The sequence below is a fragment of the Homo sapiens genome, chromosome 9, assembly GCF_000001405.40.
Source record: "Homo sapiens chromosome 9, GRCh38.p14 Primary Assembly".
Lineage (NCBI taxonomy): Eukaryota > Metazoa > Chordata > Mammalia > Primates > Hominidae > Homo > Homo sapiens.
In genome coordinates, this window is record NC_000009.12 from 123,755,935 (window position 1) to 123,780,406 (window position 24,472).

Here is a 24,472-nt window from a genome sequence, read left to right on the forward strand (position 1 = left end):
AGTTTCGCTCTTGTCACTCAAGCTGGAGTACAGTGGCACGATCTTGGCTCACTGCAACCTCCATGTCTCGGATTCAAGCAATTCTCCTGCCTCAGCCTCCCAAGTAGCTGGGATTACAGGCATGTGCCATCACACCCAGCTAATTTTTGTATTTTTTAGTTAGAGACAGGTTTCTCCATGTTGCTCAGGCTGGTCTCAAACTCCTGACCACAGGTGATCCACCCACCTCAGCGTCCCAAAGTGCTAGGATTACAGTCGTGAGCTACCGTGCCCGGCCATAGTTGAGTTTTTGAGGAGTCAAAGTTATATGTGGATTTTCAACTGTGTGAGGGTACCAGTACCCTTAAACCCATATTGTTCAAGGGTCAACTGTATAAATATGCAGTGGCCTGGCCAGGGCTGAAATATAACAGACAAAACTGAAAGAGAAATTTTTCTTTAAAAAGAAAAAGACTGCACTGTTCAATCCAAATGTAAATAATCATTTACATCAAATTCTAATGCTCTGGGCAGGTAATTCTTGGGCCTGGGCTACTAAGGCGTGCTTGAGAACAACAGAACACACAGAATCTCCCAAAGCAGCCTCCTTCCTAAAGCCTCCCCAGCAGTCATCCTCCTGTGCCCAGGTTACAAATGCTATGCTTGGTGCAGAAGAGAGTCGACTTCACTGATTAAAAGCACTAATGATACTAAGATTTGTGTAGAGAAATGCAAATGTATAGCAGTCCAGATTGACAGTTAGTGAGCTTGGGAACTTCCAAAGTCAGCCCCTCCTCCCCTGTGGTGTGAGGGTGTGTGGGTTTGGGGAACAGAAGTCAGTGGGGGAGTCTTTTCTTGATGAGAAGAAGAAAGTGCAGAGACTAGTGCCGCAGAGAGCTACCCTTTCTGGAATCCATAGAGGGTCTGGCCTTTTATTCCCAGGCCCAGGCCCAACCCAAGCCTGGGGGCCCGGGTTTTGTCATGGGCACCTCCTGCTGCTGTGCCCTGGCTGTTCCACATGAGCAGAGAGAGACAGGAGGCAGGCCCCTCTGACACCTACTTAACCAAGGCAGATGGAGAGGGGAGCATGGGGGATGCCTTTACTTCCCCCTCAGGAGGAGCCCAGCAGGAGTCCACAGAGCCAGCAGCTCCAAAATCGGATTTCCACACATCCTCCCACCTCAGAACATGCCTTACCCCTCTGGCAGGAGGAAACAGAGCCTTAAGCAAGTGTGGCTCTGGTGTATGAGGGGCTTTTAGAAGACCTGAAGAAGCCTTCTTACACGATTCTTAATTTTTTCAAACCTCTACAGAGGTAGCCAAAATGGGACACAGTTCTTCATTCACCGACCCAAAGGGGGCAAGGGTGTTACTTTAAGGCGGACACAGTCTGTGTCTGCAAGATGTCCTGAGCTACAGACACATACTTTATTAATAATCTTACATACACAAAATGTCCAAGAGAAAGTCTAACAGGCTAATTTCTGACAGCTCCAGATAACAGCAGAAGGCACTGAAGCCACACTGACTCTCTGGCTTCCACAAACTACTCAGAAGAGATGGTCCCCTTTCCCACCCAAGGGATGTGATACAAATAAATAAATACAATTATCTGCAGAACTTACAGTGCAAGAACAACACTGTGAAGTCCTTCTCCCCAAATGCAGTGACTTGTGGGAAACAGATAGGAAAATGAAATGAACAGCTGGAAGATTTAATTACGGAAGAGCAATGCAGAAGCTGACATTGCTTCAGAGAACAAGCCAACAGCCCAAGCCTTCTCCCTTACCTTAAGATACAGAAGCAGCTCTTCGCTCCTGAAGATAAGCGGCAGAACCCGAATCTCTGTTTGCTGTCAATGTCAGTGAGCACGAATGTGAAGTTCTGGCCAACTTGGCTAACTGTGAGGCTGCAGCAAAGGCAGAACAAAGGGGAAAATGAATGTGCAGTAAGTTTCTTGATAAAGTATCTAATCACAATGAGTCGTTGAACTTATAACATTTCCTCTCTCAGTGGAACTCTTAAAATTTACACATTTCAAGGGAACAGACTGTAAGCTAGTTAAAAAAAAAAAAAAAAAAAAGACAGCCAGCAGCCTATTCTAGTGACCACCTCAGAAATCAAATAATCAGAGCTATCATACCTTCTCCTTACTGAGTTCAGTCTCTGAGGCAGCTCTGTTAGTCAGCCCATCAATTCCGAAAGGTGCCCTCTATTAACCTCATTTTGCTGATGAAGAAATAGTCTAGAGAGGCATTGCCTAAGGTCAGCTGATCAGTGGCAAAAAGCTGGATTTTAACCCTCGCGCTGATTCCACAGGCCACTCTACCAGCTTGCTGCTAACAATCCTCACCTGAGAACTTCCCTAGTTCAGAAAATAAGAGTGCTTGCCAGAGCAAAAGGTAAATGTTACTATGTGCCAGCCACAAAGTTAGACATCATATATGCGTAGACCATCTCCCTGACTCTCAGGACAACCATGGAATTTAGAGGATGTTCCCATTTTACAGAAAAGGAAACTAAGGACCAGAATACATCCTTAGTAACTGAATCACGTTCACACAGCTACAAAGAGGAGGAGCTGAAATTGAAACTGGAAAGAAAACAGGGCAAGCTTAGGTGTTACTTTCCTAAATTCCTATATCTTTCATAATTTCTGAATTTATGAGAAACATATTTCCTATTTTAGAGGACAGAAATAACCAAAATGTCTAGCATTGCATGGTGTTTTCTAAGAAATGGAAACAACATTTTAAAGAAAGACGTTAAAGGAAAAAAGCTAAAAATATATCAATACAAAAATTTAAAAACCACACATAAACGCAACATTAAAATATCTATTTTTAAAAATTTTAAAAACAATACTAATCAGATTACAGAAACTCTTTGTTTTGTTTTTCTGTTTTGAGATGTAGTCTCGCTCTGTTGCCAGGCTGGAGTGCAGTGGTGTGATCTCAGCTCACTGCAACCTCCACCTCCCTGGTTCACACAATTCTCCTGCCTCAGCCTCCCGAGTACCTGGAACTACAGGTGCCCGCCACCATGCCCAGCTAATTTTTTTATATTTTTAGTAGAGACGGGGTTTCTCCATGTTAGCCAGGATGGTCTTGATCTCCTGACCTCGTGATCCACCTGCCTCGGCCTCCCAAAGTGCTGGGATTACAGGCGTGAGCCACCGCGCCCGGCCAAACTCTTTTTTTAAAGTTGTAAAATGTCTAAAAATCCAGTTTTTAAAATCAGTTTACCAGTTAGCTTGGATTTCATTCCATTTTAAAAATTTAAACATCCCGCTTCCGTCACAGTTATGGCGGCTAAGGCTACCACCTACTTGCCCAGCTGTTGCTGCTAGAGCTTGTAGACAAATGTATAGGCTCAAGAATTCACATTGTGGTGAAGAGTCATTAAGAAATCGTGGGTACTCTTCTAGGAGTTGATGACTTTGTCAAGATGGACTAGAAGAGGTCACTGAGTTTGAAATCACACCAGAAGGAAGAAGTACTATTGTTGTTATTATTATTACTATTACTTTGAGACACAGTCTTGTTCTGTCACCCAGGCTGGGGTACAGTGGCACAATATTGGCTCACTGCAACCTCTGCCTCCCGGGTTCAAGTGATTCTCATGTCTCAGCCTCCTGAGTAGCTGGAATTTCAAGCGTGCACCAACACGCCCAGCTAATTTTTGCATTTTTAGTAGACAGAAGGTTTTGCCATGTTGGCCAGGCTGGTCTCAAACTCCTGGCCTTAAGTGATCCGCTTGCCTCAGCCTCTCAAAGTGCTGGGATTACCGCCTGGCCAGGAAGAAGTATAATTAAATTAGAGCAGATTTTGCTAAGTGGAAATAATATAACAATGCTAGTTCCTGTCAGAGAAGAACCTGAAGAGTGAATGGGTTTCCCTACCTTATGCTAGATTCAGTTTTGTCTTATAATGGCAACAAAATAGAATTTGCTTTTTACCTTTAAATGCTTAGATCCCATAAAGCTAAATTTCGCATTCAAGGGAAATCCTTTGAAGATGTATATCCATTTTTGTAAGTTACAGTAATTATCTCAGAAAAAGAAGAAAAGAGTTTTTTCTCTGAAGATTAAAATAAAGGTATTTTTGGTTAAAAAATCCAAATTCTAATACATGAATTTATATTAACGTAATATGCTAGAATTCAACACTGAGTTATTCAAAGGAACTCATCAACTCATATTGTATTTTACAAAGTGTATTCAAATTGGTAAAATAGTCAAATCTATGCTATCAATTATTACTTTATAAATTATCAGAAGAAATTTAAAAATCATGGTTTACCAAGCTTTTTCCAAAGGTAGAATTCTTATTGAGTCTTTGGATATGATATGAATAAAGTTTTCAAAGATAGGGTAGACTTTCTAAAACTCCCTTATACAGCCACATAAATAATTAAAATTAAAGGAATTTTCAAGGTATTCCAATACAAAGGTCAATGGACTCTGCCTGGTCATATTTAAGGAGACAACTCCATCTCTTAGAGAGTGGTTAGAGAGTACAAGAAAATAATTCAGAAAGAAAAAGTGTTCCACTCTCCTTATTTAACTAGGAAGGTGAACAAAAACAAGGTGGCAATTTAAAAGCAACGTGGTCATAAAGCAGGTGTAAGTAATGCTATCCCTCCACCTTACACAGCCAGGAGAAGAAACACATTTCTATAAAAGTTATAGGGCCGTCAAGGGGACACCAAACGCTACCTTCCTATGCCTGTTATGTTTTATCCATAAAGCTTGGATACTGTGTTACTATGGTGATTTAATACTATGTTTTAAAGGGGGATTATATGATTAATTTTAACAAGGTTGAGAACTGAAGATGTGTGAGAAACAGCATTCTAGCTCACATAATTAAAGTGATTGGGGAGAAAAGTGGGCCTCAATGGGGGAGGGGAAATCCTGTTTTATTAAAATATTTAAAGCAACAGGTCTGGATGATTCCAAGTTACAAATAAGGTTGTGCTTTTAAGAAACACTACTACGTGATCATACAAAATATGATTGTTCAGTGTTTTAACTCAGGTTTTGATTTCACTTCTAGAATGTTTAAAATGAATACTAAGTATCATCCTAGAAAGGAAGGGTATCGATAGGACTCGATGAAAAGAAAACACCCAGGATTCTCCAGGAAAAAGACAGAGAATGAATGCACCTGACTTGTGAATTGTGTGTCATTAATTTCCTACTCTCTTTTTATTCCTATTAAAAATGCTGGAAATGTGTTTAGCTACCCTACAGGCTCAGAGAAAGAATCATTACTCATTTACCTGGTTCAAATCCCAACTCAATCACTGACTAAATTTAGCAAGTTACTTAAAACCTTTAAGCACCTGAGTTTCTTCACCTGGAATAACAATGAGACACTACCATCCAACCCAAAGGATGTTTTGAGAATAAATGGAAAAGAATTTAGTATAAAGGTCAGTCCAGAGTAGGAACAATTAAAAAGAGGGACGCAAGCTGTTGCCAACTGTGAAAACTAAAACTCACATTAAAAACTAGGCCTTTGCTTAGAATCTTCCTGATTCAGCTTTATAATATCTGTGAGTAGAGGAAGAAGTCTGCTTTCTTTTCTCTCTTGCCTGTTGCATATTTTTCAGGAAAGGCTAGTCCTCTGGGTGACCAAGTGACTGATGCTTGCCTTACAGTGAAAAAGATTCTTTTTGGGGTGCCACAGCTTACCAGGAGGTACTTATTCTCAATTGATTCCCTTTTTTAATTCCTGGTAGGGTGAAGTAGAAGTCGACAAAAGCCCAAAACCAGTAGGCTCTAAAAGATTGTTTCCTTGGACAATTTCCAATAAACTAAAGGTCTGGCAAGGGAAGTCAAAGAGGTTAACTTAAAAGGGTTCTGAATCTCCAAGGAATTTATCATTCTCTCTCTCCTACTTGCTGGGGTAGTCTATGGGAGTGTTCACTATTTCTCCATAAAAATGACCTTGGGGAAAGGGTCTGCTTCCTTAAAGTCTGCAGTTTGAGTTTACCTCAGCATCCATAATTTCCAAAGGAACCAGAGATTTCAGGATGATGGAAGCTAGGAGAAACCATCTCACCCAATTCTCATGTTTCACAGATGAGAAAACTGATATTTAGGGTTTACTTTCATTTTGTTTTCCAAGGTTATCAGGACTAGGACAAAAATCCAAGCCAACTTCTGGTTCAAAGTCCTTTCCATTCTGCCACGCTGCACTAAACACAATGAAAATCCTCCCTGGGAAGCTTTCAACTCGGTTTAAGGAACTAAGGTATGCGAGGAATTCAGATAGTTGTCTTAACAAAAAACCATATTTTTCACTAAGCTAGGGAGACCACATTTGAAGTTCTCCAGAAATAAACCCAGGAGACCAGGGCCAAGACCAGCCTTAGCTGTGCTTCTTGTAGCTTCCCGTGCCTAGGTGAATATGAAAAACAAGGGAGAAAAGCAATAGCTATTCAAGCCACAGACCTAAACCTTCATGCTTCCTTTTAAATGCCTATCAGCCATTCAGGGCCTCTCCAGTAGCATTTTGCTTAATCTTGAAGTTGTTTACAGGGCCAGTGCATGAATGGTATGAAGCATGAGGATGGACAGTTTGATTCTAGTCTCCCAGTGAGAAACAAACTTTTACATGTGAGCTTCACTTTAAGTTTCATTATCCATTTTGCAAATTGAGCTACAACTACACTGGGCACTGTAACAAGTGCTGGATATACAACACTGAACAATATAGGCAGGGCCCCTGCCTTTGCAGGCTTTCTGTCTAGATAGAGACAAGTAATAAACAAGTATACCACAAAACATACAGCTTGTAATAGTGGTATTACAAAACCAAAGAAGAAACGAAGATAGAGGAAAATGGAAGGGAAGGAAAGGCCCTACTGAGATAATGTGGTCAGAGGTAGCTTCTCAGGGATGGCAACAATATTGACCAAAGGATGAAATGGAGCAGCCACTCAAGAAACAGGGCACTGGGTTGTTTCAGGCAGAGAAAAGAACTAGGCAGAGATTCTGGGGACTGGAAAGAACTAGTTATGATCAAGGAACCAAAAGGACAGGAGTCCTGCTAATGCACAGGAGATAAAGGGGAAAGTGGCATCACATTAAGCTGCTAGATAAAGCAAGCTCCAGATCACACAGAGAGTCCCACAGGTCATGGTAAAGAATTCAGATTTTTTTTTTTTTTTTGGCGGTGGGGGGAGGCAATAGAATGCCACTGAATGATTTTGATCAAGAGAAAAACACAGTCTGGTTTATAGCTTCAAATATTTCAACTGACTTATACAGAGAGCAGTTTGGAAGAAGGTGTAAGTAGGAGTAGAGAAAATAATCTGGAAGTGATTGCAGTAGTCCAGGTGAGACTGGATGGTGGCTTAACTCATGTAGGGAGAGTAGAGATGGAGAGGGATGGATAGTTCAAGTTATAGTTAGCAGATATGAATGACAGGCTTGCAGATGGACTGGGAATTGGGGAGCAAAAAGGCAGAATATTACCATTTGAAGATAGGAAAGACTAACAAGTTTGGGGGAAGATCCAAGAGTTCCATTTGGGATATGTTAAGTCTGAGAAGCCTGTAAAACATCTAAATAGAAATGTCAAGTACAGAGTTGAATACACTAGTTAGGAAATCAGAGGAAACGTTTGGATTGAAACTACAAATTTGGAAGTCATCTACAAACAGATGGTATTTAACACCATGGTAAAGACTGGGATCACTTAGGGAGGGAGTTCAGAGAAACAAAAGAGGATCCAGGACTAATTTATAGAAACACCAATTTAGAAGATGGGTGGAGAAGAGACCAAAGAAAGGAGAATAGCCAGCAGAACAAACAAGAGGGAGTGGTCAACTGTATTGATGCATCAAAGATGAGAAGAAGAAAAAACAATGTCTACTGAATTAAGCAATATGGAGGTTTTAGATGACCTCGATAAAAACAGCTCTAGTTGAATGACAGAAGCAGAAGACAAGCTGAAGAAGGCTGAAGGATAAGTTGAAGTGTGTAGATAACTCGTTCAAAAAATAGAGAATCAGAAAGCAACTGAGTGGTGGTTATTATTTTTAGGATGAATACCAGAACTTGTTTTTAAGCTGTTGGAAATGATTCAGCAGAGGCAGAGATTTATGATGCAGGACAGAAGAGAAAACATTAAGGCCTGGACCTTACATCAGAATCCCAGACATGTTACTCAGCAGTTATGTGGGCATAGACAAGTTATTATACTTCTCTGATCTCATCTGTAAATCATCAGAATAATCACATCACTTTGCAGAGTGGTTGCAGATTAGAGATAATGTATACAAGATAACTAGCATATAGTAGGTACCTGACAAAAATGATCATCACTACTGTTATGCAATTATAAAATTCAAGAGATAGAACTGAAGCATTTTGTCCCCCTCTATGTATTATAGCTTACCGACAATTATCTGTTGTCCATGGCAGGGCACCTAACAGACACTTTTCCTTTCCTTCAGTGCGTATGAGGCATGAGGCAGGAATGAAGCTTCATCAAACTACCACATCTCCCAGCCTTTAGTTCCGTAAGCCTCAAAGCTTCCTTCCACAAACACACCTTACATCTGCCTAGGCCTCAAGTTTCTCACCTTCCCTGCTCAAAGATCCAAGTGGTGAGAATGACATGGACCCAAAATATGAGGGGACCAACAGTAAGTGACACACTTCGAGACAGAACGCAATGCCTACCTGCTGGAGAAACTCACCAGACAATTCTAAGAGCAGAGCTCTGTCCATTCCCTCTACATGAGCCTGACAAAGTCAACATGAAGCATAACTGCAGAATTTAAAAGTATCAAAAGCAGAAGGAACAGCAGAGATTGATGGAATCCAATTCCCTCATTTTATCCATGAAAAAATGAAGAACCTCAGGGGAGAAGTCACTTGCCTCACAGCACAGAGCAGGGCAGTGGTAAAACCAAAACCAAAACCCAGATCTCCTGCTTGCTGCCTACAATAGTCTGTCCACTAAGGCCCAGCTGCTTCGTTGTCATCAACACTGTAGAAAATAATCATGGGGCACAGCTGAACCTATATTGTATGCTAAACCAAGGGACTTCAAGGGCCCAGTGGGTTCAGGTTTAGAAAGGAGAGCAGGGTGAATCTGCAGAGGAGAGGTCTGGGAAGATAAGATGTTAATACACTGGTCCTATGTCTGTGTGGGTTTCATTTTTTTCTTTCTCTCAGTTTCCTACTTCTCTACAATAAATATATATTGCTTTATTGCTTTTGAAATAAAACCGTTTGTTAGGCTACTTATGCTGTGATGGATCTTATGGAGGCAGTATGGTAAAACAGGGAAAGTATGGTGGAGTTGGAGGTCAGACAAATGAGGGTTCTGCAAGCAGCTATACCACTAACTGGTAGTGAGACCTTGGGTAGTTATCAAGCCTATCTGAGCCTCTGTTTCCTCCTGTGTGGCATGAGGATAATGGTAACCTTACAAATTTGTAATCTTTTATTACAGGAAAAGAACATAGGGCAATGCCTGGCACAAAACAGATGCCCAATAAAATGGTAAGTAGCATTTGAGCCACATTTGCATCTGGGGTTACATCCTGACCATTAAATGATGCCTCTGGCCCTGAAAAGATTATTTCATTGCATTTGACTATCCTGTCAGTTGTGTGTGCCAGTATAATTTACAGGAAAATGGAATGGTAGCTGACTTTCAGGGTTCTGAAAGAGGATAAACACAAAAATGGAAGAGAATAGCTTTTCCATCATCCAATGCATGTCTCAAGTGCTTTGAGTAACTGAAGCTGGTTGTCAGCTATCAAGGGCAAGCAAGTAGCAAACATGATATGGAATGGTACAAGTCTTTTTTTAAGAGACTATTTTTATTAGTAATAATGAGTTTTTGAGATTGATACAGGAATCTCAACACTGACACTTCACTACTCCCTCTCACCAACAGCTTCACGTACACTGTAGGGTAGAAATAACTCTGGATTAGGAATAGAGTACCAGTGCCTTTCCTGGCCCTGTAAATTATATAGTTGTGACCATAAGCAAGTCATTTCACCTCTGTGGATCATGGTTTTCCTTCTATAAAATGGGGAGTTTGAACCAGATGAATTTCAGTTTTAAAATCCTGTGGTCTTGTTTCCACACATTTTCAAGGCCTCCTGTGGCCAGAGCCCAGGTTCTCACAGTCACCCTCTCCCCAGCGAGCTCCATCTGCTCTGGCTGAACAAGCTCTAGGCTCACTCGGGGCTTCTCCTCTGCTTTGCTTTTCAGTGCTGATGGGGTGTTAGGCTCTCCCTCCCACTTGCCCACTTCTTGCTGTCCTGGCAGACTCAATACAAGTCTCCCCCACCATAAGAAGTTTTCTCTGACCATTTTGGTCTTCTCTAACCTCACTATCCTTTGGGTCGATCCTGTTTAATATGTCTTTATAATTCCTGGACTAGACTGGGAGGGCAGGGCTCCAAGTCTGAGACCATTTCCGTTATCCCCCATATTACCCAACACAATGCTCTACATCCTGAACCTTCCTTTGCTCTTTTGTAAAAAAGATACCACCATCTATCTCCTAGAGCTTCTAGGAAGAATAAATGAGACAGTGATGTGGCAGCATCCAGCACTTTGACTAGAATCGATAAGGAAATCAAACCTCGTTTCCTTCCTTTCCTTCTTCTCTATATATTTGGTGACTGGTCTTCCCTGCAAGGTGGTCTACTGAAACGTATTTGTCTGGGAGATGGAAATCTAGGTTGTGCTCAGAGAACCTTGGGCAAGTCCCAATTTCTCTGCAGCTTAGAATTTTGTTCAAATGAAGATAATGGCACCTGCTCTTATCTCTTATGATAGGAGGATAAAATGAGATAATATATGAGGAAGCACATTCTTTTGAAAAGCTACTGGCTTTATTATTTTTCCTAAGTCCTAGTTTGAAAAAGAAAAATCTTAAAACAACACACGAGACAGCAAGATGTCAATGTTAACGGGTGATTTGATGATGACTGTGAAAATCCACCTCTTGATATAGACTAGAAATGTCAGAAAGTTTTATGACTGTTCCTTGGGGTAGAAAAGCACAGATACTGAAAAGATCAGGAAGCTTTCTTTTTTGAACGCAATCACCTGGGGCATTACTTGTCTCCCAGGCTGGCATATTTTCTAAGTCAAACAATATCATAAACCCATCTAGGGGACTTTATGGGCCTCAGAATCTGGGGATATCCATTTGACAGTGCTAACTGCAAACTAATAAAAAAATTAAGACATTGAAACCTTTATATTTCTTACAAATGAACTTTATTCATTATTATTATCTCTTCTGTATTAAAGTATACCAAGGTTAGAGGTGGGGGAACAGAAAGAAAATATATAGTCCCCACATAAAATGATTTTTTGGTATCAATAAAAGTTATCAACACCCATAGGGTATGTAATATAATACAATGTAAGAAAGAACTATTGTACATGGTAAGGAATGAAATATTCAAAAAGAAACATTTCTGTCCTCAAATCCTTTTGTAAAAAAGAAAAAAAAAAGGAACATGATTAGGGGAACATAATTTGGAGAGAAGGATTCTGGAAGAAAAACATATTTCTAACAACAACAAAAAGGCATCAGATATTTTTGGTAACAAAAAAGATTTTAGAATTATCACTTAAGGACTCTGCTTTTCTTCCATTTCAGAATGTAATCACCCAGACAGGTAGGTAAGTAGAAGTGTGTGTATGGTATACATCTAAGAAAAAGAAATATGAATCAGTGTGTGTATGTGTGTATGCACACACACACCTGCACATGTGTGTTGGTGGGGAAGACAGAGGTTTAATCTCTATGCATTTCTTCTAACATTAGTAAACATTAATAGGATTACTCTAAAATATTTTCTCTTGCTCACTTCCTTAAGCAGTTAACAAAGTCAATTAAGAAACACCTATCCAAAACAAATCACCACTCTAACAAGAAGTCATGTAAAAATGTATTCTCTTATTTTTCTTTATTAAACACCTAACTGCATTTATAAAACATTTCAGTTTTATTACTTTTTATAAATATGTCTTTGCCATAATTTGTCATACATTTTATAAGTGGCTGGAGGAGATTTCATGCATAGCTAATTCATACATATAAATGTGAAGTTTGCATTAAATATCTCTAAACAAAACCTTACTTCCTTGCATTTTTAGGAGGAATAGGCTAAAGAAGAGACAAGACGACTCCCATTACAAAGACTGACCCTCTTAGAATTAAGGCTATTCTTTTTTGAGCATCAACCTGCTACTGAAATATTCCTGGTACCAGGATTTACAAGGTCTGAGTCTGGAAATACTATAATGGTTGATTGGCTTAAGAAAAAATAAAATGTTAGAACCAGGGAGAGCAGTGATTAGAAGTGGCTGGCAACATTCCAGAGTTGCTTTTTAGTACCTTTTAAACTCCTTTGGCTACCAATTCTCATCTCATACCATTTTTAGGTTTATGCCAAATAAACCACGACAGTGGTATTACAATGTGTAGAAAAGATGCAAACAGCATACTACCCACATATACTCTAAATCACTGAAATCTTACAGGCTTTGCCTTGTTTGGGTACACTAAAATACATGATAGAATCTTCCTGAAGATAAGCACAAATTTTATAGCTTTCTTGGACCATATTATGGCATTTCTTACTTACAATGTTATTTTCTATAACCTTTCTGTCAATAAAAGTGGGTTTGTTAAGATGTAATGTATGTACAGTTTCATAGTTCAAATTTCCATTAAGAGAAAACTGAAGAGACAACAATCAAATGGGCAAATAAATGAATGTAAAAAACTAATGATTCAACTGTAATGAAAAAGAGTAGACATTTTTTGAAAATAAAATAATTGTTATTTTATTAATATAGTTAATACATTAGTTTTATAAAGTAAAAAAAAAAAACTCCTCTAAAATTCTTATCATTAACCAGTGGCTCGTTAAAAAGAAAAAAAAAAAACCTCAGACTATTTTAATTGTCTTAGAGTTCTCATATTTGTACCTATCTAAGAAACAGTTTATCACAATGTAAATACTAAGGAAATGTTTAGGTGGTTTTGTACTTTTAATCTCAAAATCTATAGAAAATTCTCTTTTTCCCAGAGATACCATTCTTAGCCACTTAAACAAAATATAAAATACTATTTAGCAATATTCCCTGCTGAATACTTTTAAACAAGATAGGGCTAGGCTGATTTAAATTATAAGTTGAAGTCTAGGAAAAACAAAGTCTATATAATACAAAACGTTGGAATCAAGTAATATTACTTGTTTAAGCCAAATATATTCATATTTAAATAACAATTAAATAGCAAGAGATTAAATACCAACCATTCTTAATCACAGTTTAAGTCTGATAACAAAATCAAAACTTTAATGCCATACAAAATACATCTCACAAACTAACCAATGCAAAGCTCTAAGCTTTAAACTTTTTGACAGTGTCAATAAAAACCCCAGGAAGGGAGAATATTGCAACTCTCCTTGGAACACAGGTATCTTAAATCATGGTTAAACAGACAGAATGTTAAGAATGGTATGGTTTTTATTTTCTATAGCAGGTTTATTGATACTTTTTTTCTAGTAAAGTTTGAAAATCTGACACTACCTGTCCACATAGAAGGGGAAACAAAACTTGGTCAAAGTCTGTAGAACTTCCTGTGGAGAGAAAGAGAGATAATTTATACATCTAATGGGACCAGTAAATCTAACATTAACCACAGCACACAATCTAGCAACTTTACCCTAAAGAAAGAGGAGACAGATGAAGAAATATGGGCTTTATCAATTACATGGGAGGAGTACCAGGCAGTCAATCATGAGAAATAATAAACATGATCAAACTTCATTAAAAATGAAAAATTAATCAAGAATCACACATGGGCAAGCAGCAGGAGCCATGCAGGAAAGCTCTGAAGGGAGGGAGGCGGTTGGGTTGCTGAGTGTTAACACCCCTCCAGGGAACATCTCCAGCCTGACCATATGGATCAGAGTGAATAACACCGAGCCACATGGGTTTGGCCTGGCAGGGCCGCTGTTGCTGGCACCGTTTTTGCCTGTTACCTAGGAACAGAGGGGGCCAGGATTAGACAACGCTTCCCAACATCAATAGGCCAAATCACAGCAGAATCGAAAGCCAACTTGAAGATAATTGTCCCTGAACACTGTCAGCTACATTTTTTAGAGTTTAAAACTTCATTTACTTACTTTACAAAGAAGTTGCCATTTTGGGCATATATTTATTTTGGAACCAAACTGTAACAGTTTTAAGTATATACTATTCTTATTGAAATATCACCATATTTGAACATACTCACCTAATTTTAATGTATTAAAATCTAAAGCAAACTACCAGTTTAAATGTCTTTCTAAAAAAATACATATATAGGTACATAAAGCCAAGCACATTATTCAGGATTAGGGTACACAAAGTAAGGTGACATTTTAACAACTTATTCATAGAAGACAATCTTCTTACATTACCACAGAAAAAAACAGTACATGACACACAATAAACAGTGGTGTATAACTTTCCCTAAAAGACACATTTCATATATATAGCACATATACACACAGCTAACCACATAGACAGGTAGTTAGTTATTATTTCCTTCACAGAATTTTCCTTAGCTTAACTTAATTTAACTTCAGACTTGGACAGCCCACGGTTGGTGCTTATCATAAGTTCATAGACCAATGTTATAAATTTTAAAAAAGTATTCCTTTCATGCACTTGATTTGCTTTTTAACTATTTAAAATCCCAACTTCAAGACAAAATGAAGAACACATTTTTCAGTCATTGAAAAGCTGGTTCAAATTAAAACAAACCTGCCCATTGCAAACCCTAATCCAAGTGATAAATTAAAGATCAGCTTACAAATGTAGCACTTTTCTAACCAATAATAATGAATTATCAATGCTAACTGAATTGATGCTTCTCGCTTCATTTATTTTTAAAACCAGTTCTATCATTCAAGAAATAAACCACATCAATCTAATAACCCACTCAATGAAGCAGAAAGCACATTGACTTGCTCTGCCAGAGCATGTTCCGCCTACATAATTCAATTGAGCATATCCTATTTTTTAATATCATCTTGGACTGGTACTATGTATATCACAGCACTGCTAAGAAATGTCATGAAATAATGTAATTAATGAATAGGAAACTAAGAAGTGAAAAAGAGTGGATGAGAACACCTCAGCATATCCTAAGAAACATTACTTATATATTAGTTAACTTTATAATGTGGCATTCAGGCATATATATTGTTTATAAACTAATCATGCTTAGATAAACTGCAATAGGTAATACAGAATCAGAACAAAGGCAATTTTTCAGTGCATAATGTTATTATCAGGCAAAGATAGGAAAACAGATCACATAAAACATTTAATGCCTGCTGTGCTAATTATAAAGTATACTACAATTCACATACACAAAACCCTTATGATTTACACACACACAAATTCCTTACAAATTTCCTTCCACTTCAAGTTTTGAATAGTAACAGAAAGCATCTCTTAACTTCAGTATATGAAACAGCCATTCTTTAAAACTCAGTATTCAGTGCTCACTCATTGCCAATATCAGCTACAAAGAAAGCTATCTTTTACCCCTCAAAAGTTATAGGTGCAGAAAGCACTTCTCTACTCTATGCTGGAGTTGTACTGGCAAAAGGCCTCAAAGATTTTTGAAAGAAAGGACCCCCTTGGCTACGAGAAGGCATTGTGCTTTACAGCAGAGTCAAAGGAATCTAATATGCCCAACTTATTACTCACTACAATATAGAAACTTCTTACCACTCTCTAATGTCAAGAGTAATAACCAACCTTGAACTTGTCTGTCAGATAATATTAGAACAAATATCAAAATACCCAATGTAGGCTGAGTGTAACCACCCACCAGCTTTCCTTTTTATCTAAGCAAACAGCAGTAAATCTAATTAAGCAATAGGATGGGGGGAGGGGAGGGGGAAAGGGAATATAGGCAATGTAGGCACATGTTGGTACATTACAATATGTTCCTTCATGTTTGTGATATTACAAGAGCTTGATATTCCAATTTAAGTCAAACAAGATGGTGGTGTGCTGTCAGAAGAAAAAACAAAAATGAGCATCTACTCTGTGTTCTGCATATTCACATATTATCGCAATTGGAACTGAGGTATCTACTTCTTAATTTGAGAAGGGGAGGACAGGAAGAGGGAGGGAAAAACAAGCAATGTTCTCTGTAAATAAAAACTGCAATAAACCAATTTAATAAATCAATTAAATAAACCCATTTTCTTAATACTGATGTTTTCCTTACACATAAACATTCATGTCTTATCATCTTTTCCCAAAGAAAAATAAAATTATTCGAATATGAAAAGTACCACTCTCCAAGAGTGGGGGCTTTAAAATCCTGATTTAAATATATTTTGAGTACCACATTCATGGCAGTGTCCCACAGTCTTTCAATATTAACTTTATTGGGACAACAGTCATTAACCAGTTACCAACCCCTTTTTCTCTCTAGAACTTGTGTCTTTGGCTAGGGCACTTTCTTTGTAGAAGGTAATTTTCTTGTTCTCTTTCCCGTTTCTCTTGCCTACACAAGCTCTTTTAGACAACCAGCCTCGGTGCAACTTCAACTACTGCCACATAAATCGGATCTTGGGGATGCTGCACAGCTGATGAAATGTAAATGACCTCATTGCTAAGGCAGGGGGTGGGGAGGACTGTGTGCCAGCTCTCCAGATCAATTCCCAAGTTTATATTTTCACAAATCTTTTTATGTACAGTTTGATTTTTTAACATTTTAATGAGCAAAAAAGTGAATCTATAGTAGCCAGTCACCACAGTTAAAGTGCAGGGCATGAACTAGATCCCAGGAGGAAACCAGTCCACCATGTCACCACTGGCTTTAGGACATTCGCCACCTGGTTCCATGTCCCCTGGTTCCAACTCTTTTCATAATCAAAACACTGCTGACATTATAAACCCCAGACGGGTTTTCTAAAATCCCTCCCAATCAATATATCCAACACATAACTTATTGGAGACAACACTGAGCTCATTGATTAAGGTGAGTTCAGTAGCAAAGTTTTCAAAATAAATGAGACAAGAATACAGCATTCAACCCCTTTGTGTCACCAGACAATTTATGAAATAGGCAATTTCCAAAAGGGTTTTTCTTCCTAACAAAATATATGATACTTCATGTAGGAAGAAATAAGAGCAGAGGGGGCAGGGAGGAAGTGTGTTAGAGAGGCAGTTGCACAAATCTTTCAGTTATGCATACATGAAGCAGCAGATTGCATAGTGTAATAGAAAAGTAACATCTACAAAGCTCTGCCCACAAGAGACACCAAGCCTCAGAGTATGAACCAAAATATGAAATTAACACACCTAACGCTGGATACACTTGCAAATGAAATTCAGAAATGAACTCAAGATTCATTTCAGTCTACTTTGGATTCACTTCATCCAATTCTAATTCTCATCCGGTCAGAAGGCCCGAATTTACTCCAATCTGGAGAAATTAGATTACATTCTGTTGATACTGAGCCTAAGAACCCAGTAAAGTTTTAAATGTATAATATTATCCATTATAGAATCCTATCTGGAAGCAAAATCTCGAAGACCAAATTCAATGAAGTTAACTGGGATTATTAATGAGAAGGCTAGACTAATTCACCCTGACCTTGGGGTGCTAGGTAGGGGGCTATAGGAAATCCTGCAACGACCAACATTCCAGATGTCAAATACTTTGTTTTCATTGCTTCATTGAAACTTATAAACAAAAATTAGCTTTATTTGGCAGATGAAAACAACTGACAGTCAGACACAGACATACACACCCCATAAATAAATGCCATCTGAAAGATAAAAGTGCAGAGTGATTATAGTGTCCACTGGAGTTACAGAATGCAGGGAGATGAGGCATATTTGCAATAGTTCAAAGGGAAAAACATGGTGCAGGAAAACATTTAAATAAAGAGAAGAGATAGCTTGAATAAATGAATGTATTTTAAAATATGTAAAGCCACAATTAGCCTCTTTGTGGCTTGCTGAAAGCCGATATAGCAGTTGATAATTTACCTTTGTCCAAAAACGACAGTGAAAGAGGAAGGGGAAGGGAAACCATGGGAGAACATTTCCTGGGTTTCTTATATCTAATTTATTTGTTCATTTCAAAATGTAGGTGTGTGATGAAAAGATCAGTGGAGCTCAAATTCCTAAAATACTCCCTATGTTTAATTTTTTTTAATACCATAAGGGAAATGCTGACCCTCTAAGTCCTGCAATTGCAAGCAGTGCCACTGACTTGAAAGAAAAGCCTGATTGACGATCTTAAAACTCAAGTTGAAAGTTAAAAACAGAACACACACAAAATCCAAACATACAAAAAAGCTAACAAAATTTCTACCTTAAGCCATTTCAAGTTAAAACCAGGGGCTTCCAGTGAAAGCTCACAAAGGTTTTAAATGCTTATGATTAAGAAGGGTAAAGCAGTTGTTCCTGGAAGCTTAATTAGCACCAAGTTCAAGAATGTTGATCAGAAGTTTCCTAAATGTGAACACAGGAAATAAAATTTTTCTCCTTCACTATAAGTGTCAAATTAAATCTAAGATCCATAGTATAATTACAACCAAATTTTTATTTTTTTTCAGTGGGAAAAAGAAGCCTGGAATAAGGGGTTTTACAGAAAGGCCTTTCAACACCCAAACATAAAAGCCGGGTCAAATTTCTAACATGCTGCTCAAATGCTACAGAGTCTGCTTCCTTTCTTTGGTACATTTCAATATTTACCCCTAGTTTACTTTTTATAAACTTCAGTTAATTGAGTCATATACATGTTATAATTATGCAATTTTATATGTAATACCTAATATGCAGTATTAATGTTGTAATTCAAAGATAAATATAATAAATTCATCATACTCTATAAACATGTTTCATATAAACTGTGTATCTAAATTATCAAGGACATTAAGTGCAGAAGAAGAAGGCTTTCAACAGTGAAAGAGACCCCTCTGAAACCACTTTATACACCTTCATGACCTTTGAAGTCTGAAGCAAAAATACTCCATCTTATTTTTAAAACTTTTTAACAAAATTAACTTTATCCTTTTGCATCCTCCTCTTTCTCAAACTTAGCTAAAACAAAGTTGTTCCATAATCATGATATTATATAACATCCTCTATTCCAAGATTCCTTTTATTAATTTTAAATCTTACACAAAGTGGTTGAAAATGAGAGCTATATTTATAAGGTCAGCATGAAATGCCAATAAAATTCTTCACACATGCTTCAAATACTGTACTTCCAAGATGAACAAATGATTTGGTTATGATCTCTTACAATTAGCATTCAGTGGCTAATCAGAATTCAGTGGTAATTCCTTGGACTTAATATGATTACTCTAAAATAGTTTCTCTTGCTCATTTCCTTAAGCATTTAAATTCCTGTTATCTGCACATTTATGTTATCAATATTTCTGAAAGGAAGGGGGGAGGAGGGGACACAAGTCAGAACATACCAAAGGAATAGGGGTCCCAACAGTAAAACTGCAAACATGATTTCATTGAAGAGGCAACTTGCCCTTAGGAAGATACTATTTTAAAAGAAAAGGGGAAAAAAAAAAGAGCACTGATAGAAATACTATTTTGTAAGCATATTAAAAGCTGTCAGCTTTTAAATATTTTAAATGCACACAAAAATGTGCACAGATGGGCAACTTTTCTGCTCACATTAGTCTAGAGAAAAATCTTTCATTATCAAGCTCAAAGTCCTTGAATTTTTTAAACTTAATTGTGCCTCTATTTCTTAGAATTCACACCCCAAGGCCAAAGCTTTCCTGCCACCAGTCCTTCAAATCTGACTTGGACATTACACGGGAGGAGGCTCCAAGCCTCCCTGAGGTCTCACTCCTTTTACAACACACGAAAAAGCAGTCGATAATGGGCCCATGCTGAATTCGCTGCTCTCCACGTCTCCTCTTGGGACACAAGCCTAGCAGATGTGATAAAAACTGTGTCAGAGAAGTGGCTCTAGTTTGTGCCTTAATGACAACTTAAACCTCTAAACCAATACAACCAAAGGACTAACAGAACTGGCTGTTACCTCTCTCTCCTGCCAATCTTCAAATATCTCTGAACTAAATTAGCACCTCTACCCACAACTTCCCCTGCCACCCCACAAAATCCATTCTAATTGTAAAAGATAAATGAATTCAGCAAACACCCGTCGGTGGCATAAGTGTCTGGGCGCTGTGTATGTGTGTCCTATAATTAAGCCCTAACACATACTTCATGTAGTTTATATTTTCTCAAGGTATGATTGAGCATTCAGATATCTTAAAGGACTGCCTGGTAAATTCCCTCTGATCACCACCCCAGTAACCGTATTAACGCATACAACTGGTAGAGTTACAGTTTCCAAAAAGTACCTAAAGGTCTAAAAATTATTTTTAAATATGTTCAAACATAGGGAAGAAAAGTGATATACTGAGTTATTGAAACATTCTAATTATTAAAATTTATACAGGATAATTTTTTAAATCATGGGTGGCTATACTTTTAACTTGTAAGAATGCTTTGTCTTACCTAATGATATGGTACCAAAAAATAGATTCAAATGTGTACTTCTGATAACATTTTCTAAATTCTATAATTCAGCCTTCAGATGATAGGTCTTTTTACTCAGAATCTTGAAAGCCTATTCAGTCACAATTGCATACCCACTTAATCAGCAATCATTGTTCTGGGATGCAGGACTCTGTTGTCAAGACAAGCACCAAAACCTTAAAAAAATTTTTTTTCAGAACTGGCATAAGAAAAAAGTGATCTTTGTCAGACAAGGACAAATTTATGCAAATCTTTTATAAACATTCACAAACATTTATTTAGCTTTTGAAATGTTGGCCTCATTTGAGAGCATGAAAATGAGGGGGAAGTAGGAAAACGCAAAGGACAGCTTAGAAGCTGGCACGCTACATAAATATTCAGAAGGAAGATTATAGGATTCATGTTAGGCTGTCTTAGGCTTCTCCAAAGTCCACACAGAATAGCAAAGAACAAAACTAACGAGAAGTACAGCAGATGTTAGACAATGCATCAGCCTCTTTTCCTCTCTCACTTGGCTATACTTGGACGCTTTTATATTTTCTTTCAATATGGTTAGGTCATTCAAGGATTCTCCTATAGACTCTGTATTGTGGCTACAGATCTATAAGCTGAAGGTCTGTCAGCTTTCCAAAAGTTTCCAATGAAAAGGCATTATGCAAATTCTACCTCTCTTACCCTCTTTCAGGGGGGAAAAAGGCCTCCAGTATGCAGTCATTGGAGTATTGGAAGCCCCAGCCTTCATTTCTGTATAGCTGTGTTTGCCTCAGGGCCACGCTGCTTGTTTTGACAGTGGATCCCCCTAGATAGTTGGGATTAGTCGAGCTTGTTTAGATAAACTTGAAATCAAGGCCTTCTCTAGGTAGACAGCTAGATGTAGCTACCGAGTTTCCAGCTGCCTCTTCCTTTCATCCCAAAACAACTGCAGCTTCACAGTAGCTATCACAGCCACAGGCTATGTCACATACATAAGTACAAAATTAAAGGCTGCTAAAAGAAGCTTTTGTAAGTCTTAGTGCTAAAATAAGGAATCTGTACTGCTTGGTTTATACAAATTATTCTAGCACTACCAATATGGAACTGAAATCATCAGTTAACAAGGCATATTAATCAAGGTTCCTGGTTTCTTCTGATAGACAGGATCATAGTTTGGTAATATACCTAACCTTCTGCTTATTAGCTCTTGTATGAGAATAATAGCCTAAAATGTTGAAAAGGAAATAATAGGCTTTATTTATCCAGTGGCAGGGAATGTTAGCCACCGTCAACAAACACTGTGAGCAGAATATGAAAATCAAAATGTAAATATCAAATCTGCTTTTGAGAGAGAATTATTTAGCAATTGATTAGAACGTCTCACTAAACAGTCATCTGTTTAGTGTTACAGAACTGTTTCAAATCAACTTTTATTTCCTACAACTTGCAGATTCTGATAGAAAGAATAGGAAGATATAAGGAGGATAAGGAGGATTCAGAACTGAAAAAAATTATGCTCAGAACAGATTGATGACATTTCATTACAAAGACAGAAGGAGGTGATATGAAACACTACTGAAATAAAGAAATTATATAATTCAAAAAGTTTTCTAACATCTAACACTCAAGGGTTTTAATTTTTTGCAAGTAGAAAAAAAAGTCCCTTCAGAAGTCCAGCAAAATACAATAAAATAATACAATCTCACATACATATTTCATTTTACTTTGCATATCTTGCTGCAACAGATTCTAGTGTTTACCTGAGGCTGCCTCGGACAAATTAAACACAACAGTGGTACCAGAGTACATTCAGACACTTTACAGAACTATTCTGAAACATCATACAGTACAGAAGTTCTTTTACCATCTGACTGTACTGTCAAATCATACAAGGCAGTCTTTCGATCAAGTCTTCATTTCACCACCAAAAATGTGTTCTCCTGATTCAACAGGTAAGTCACTCTTTCAAAGTGTTAAGACATTCTGGAATTGAAGTCATCAGTTTGAGCTTATCCTATGAAATTTTGGATTCCTTTCATGTGTAACTTATAACCTAAGGAAGGAGCCGGCAAACTTTTCTCAAAAGGGCCAGATTGTAAATATTTTAGGCTTTGCGGGCCACTTATGGTCTCTGTCACATGTTCTTGTTTGTTTTTTTAACAATCCTTAACAAGGGTAAAAAACCTTCTTACCTCATAGGCCATACAAAATCCAGCCCCGGGCAGGATGTGACCAGCTGGCTTCAGGCTATAGTCTGCCAAACCCGATCTAGAGTGTTAAGGAGCCTGGCCACACCGCATAACCCAAACAAACTCACCAACACCCAAAAACCCAAATTCAGAAATCCTAAAAGGTAAAATGCCAATGCCAGTCATGTTGGTTCTCTGGTAATTCAACGATTCAAATGTGATTGTTGCCAAATGACCAAATGCCTACCGCATACAAATATGCTATTTTTAAAAAAATGTTTAAAGTATAAATAATTAAAAATAAAACATGTTTCCACCATCCAAAACTCACAACTGTTTTGTGGCATGGACTCTTCATAGAGACAATTCTTAGATCAATATAGTTCATTTCTATAGGTAAGGTCCATGGGTTTTCTTGACAGATAAATGAATTCATGCTCTATGGATAATGGAGAGCTCTTCAATTTGGGGTTTGTTTGGCTTAGAATATTTTTAAAGCAATATTGAAAGAGCAGAAAGCCTTTTCTGGTGCTCTACTCCCCACTCACTCAAAACACATTGCTTGTCCAATGACGTTCCATTAGATGAAGACTACAGAAGGGCCTCCTCCTGCCTCTCTCACTGCTCTATTTCTGGGCCCCTTCTCAACTCCTTTCCAGGACTTTATCTTTCTCCTTCTCTCTCTGCGTCCTCCTCTATTAGCAGTTTACCTATACCTTAGTTTCAATTAACAGCACAAGGTAAATGACTCTCAAATTCAAGTGTTCACTTCTGAACTACCTCTCCAGCTCCGGGTTCCTATTCTTTTTTGTTCTGTTTTGTAAAATACAAAACAAAACAGGGTCTCACTGTGTTGCCCATGCTGGAGGGAAGTGGTGCAATCTTGGCTCACTGCAATCTCTGCCTCCTGGGCTCAAGCAGTCCTCTCACCTCAGCCTCCTGAGTACCTGAGACCATAGGCGCGGACTACCACGCTTGGCTAATTTTTGTATTTTTGGTAGAGGTGGGGTTTTGCCATGTTGCTCAGGCTGACCTAGAACTCCTGAACTCAAGCGATTCACCCACTTCTGCTCCTTGGCACATTCAAGGAACTGAAAAGCAGCCTGGTATTCTGGAACAGAGGAGACTAGACAGGGTGGCAGGGGCCAGATCATGGATTAGATCCTTTCACATTCCACTTGCATGAGACTTTTTTTTGAGACGGAGTCTCGCTCTGTCACCCAGGCTGGAGTGCAGTGGCGAGATCTCGGCTCACTGCAACCCAGGGTTCAACCGATTTTCCTGCTCAGCCTCCTGAGTAGCTGGGATTACAGGCGCCCCCCCACCACGCCAGCTAATTTTTGTATTTTTAGTAGAGACAGGGTTTCGCCATGTTGGCCAGGCTAGTCTCGAACTCCTGACGTCAAGTGATCTGCCTGCCTCAGCGTCCCAAAGTACTGGGATTACAGGCGTGAGCCACCATGCCCAGTCTTGCACAAGACTTTCTAACCCTCCGTCCACCCCACATGTTCCGGACCCCAGGAGGACTTAGAGGCTATTCTCAGTGAGCTTCTCGCCTCTCCCAAGTTGACACCCCAGAATCCTGTCCTGTGTCTATAATTCCTATCATCAAATTGACCATTATCTCTAGAATGAGTTAAGAATGATGGGGGTTACACTCATTACCAGTGTTCCCCAGAGTATCTGGCACAGAGGAAACATCCAGTGAATGATGGTGCTGAAA

General features: G+C 38.4%; 1 protein-coding gene across 41 annotated transcripts in view, besides 1 other annotated feature; it reads right to left on the bottom strand.

Annotated features, from left to right (window-relative positions):
* The window catches only part of DENND1A (DENN domain containing 1A), a 550,469-nt gene that overhangs the window by 376,277 nt on the left and 149,720 nt on the right, over positions 1 to 24,472 (bottom strand). For 34 of the 41 annotated variants that reach the window (XR_007061334.1, XR_007061335.1, NR_148208.2 and 31 more), the window contains 2 exons: positions 13,580 to 13,629; positions 1,769 to 1,888 (listed from right to left, as the gene is read on the bottom strand). Coding sequence is in view for 38 of the 41 variants with exons in the window: in NM_001352965.2 (NP_001339894.1) it covers positions 1,769 to 1,888; positions 13,580 to 13,629 (170 nt within the window). In the remaining 3 variants the exon portion in view is untranslated. The remainder of the gene's footprint in view (positions 1 to 1,768; positions 1,889 to 13,579; positions 13,630 to 24,472) is intronic. The other 7 variants (XM_047423625.1, XM_047423623.1, NM_001400449.1 and 4 more) reach the window with 1 other exon arrangement.
* Positions 19,505 to 21,716: an enhancer, noted in NCBI's record as "VISTA enhancer hs314". NCBI's record gives its function as "enhancer in: midbrain (mesencephalon)[6/8]" and the evidence as "EXISTENCE:transgenic organism evidence [ECO:0001131][PMID:17130149]".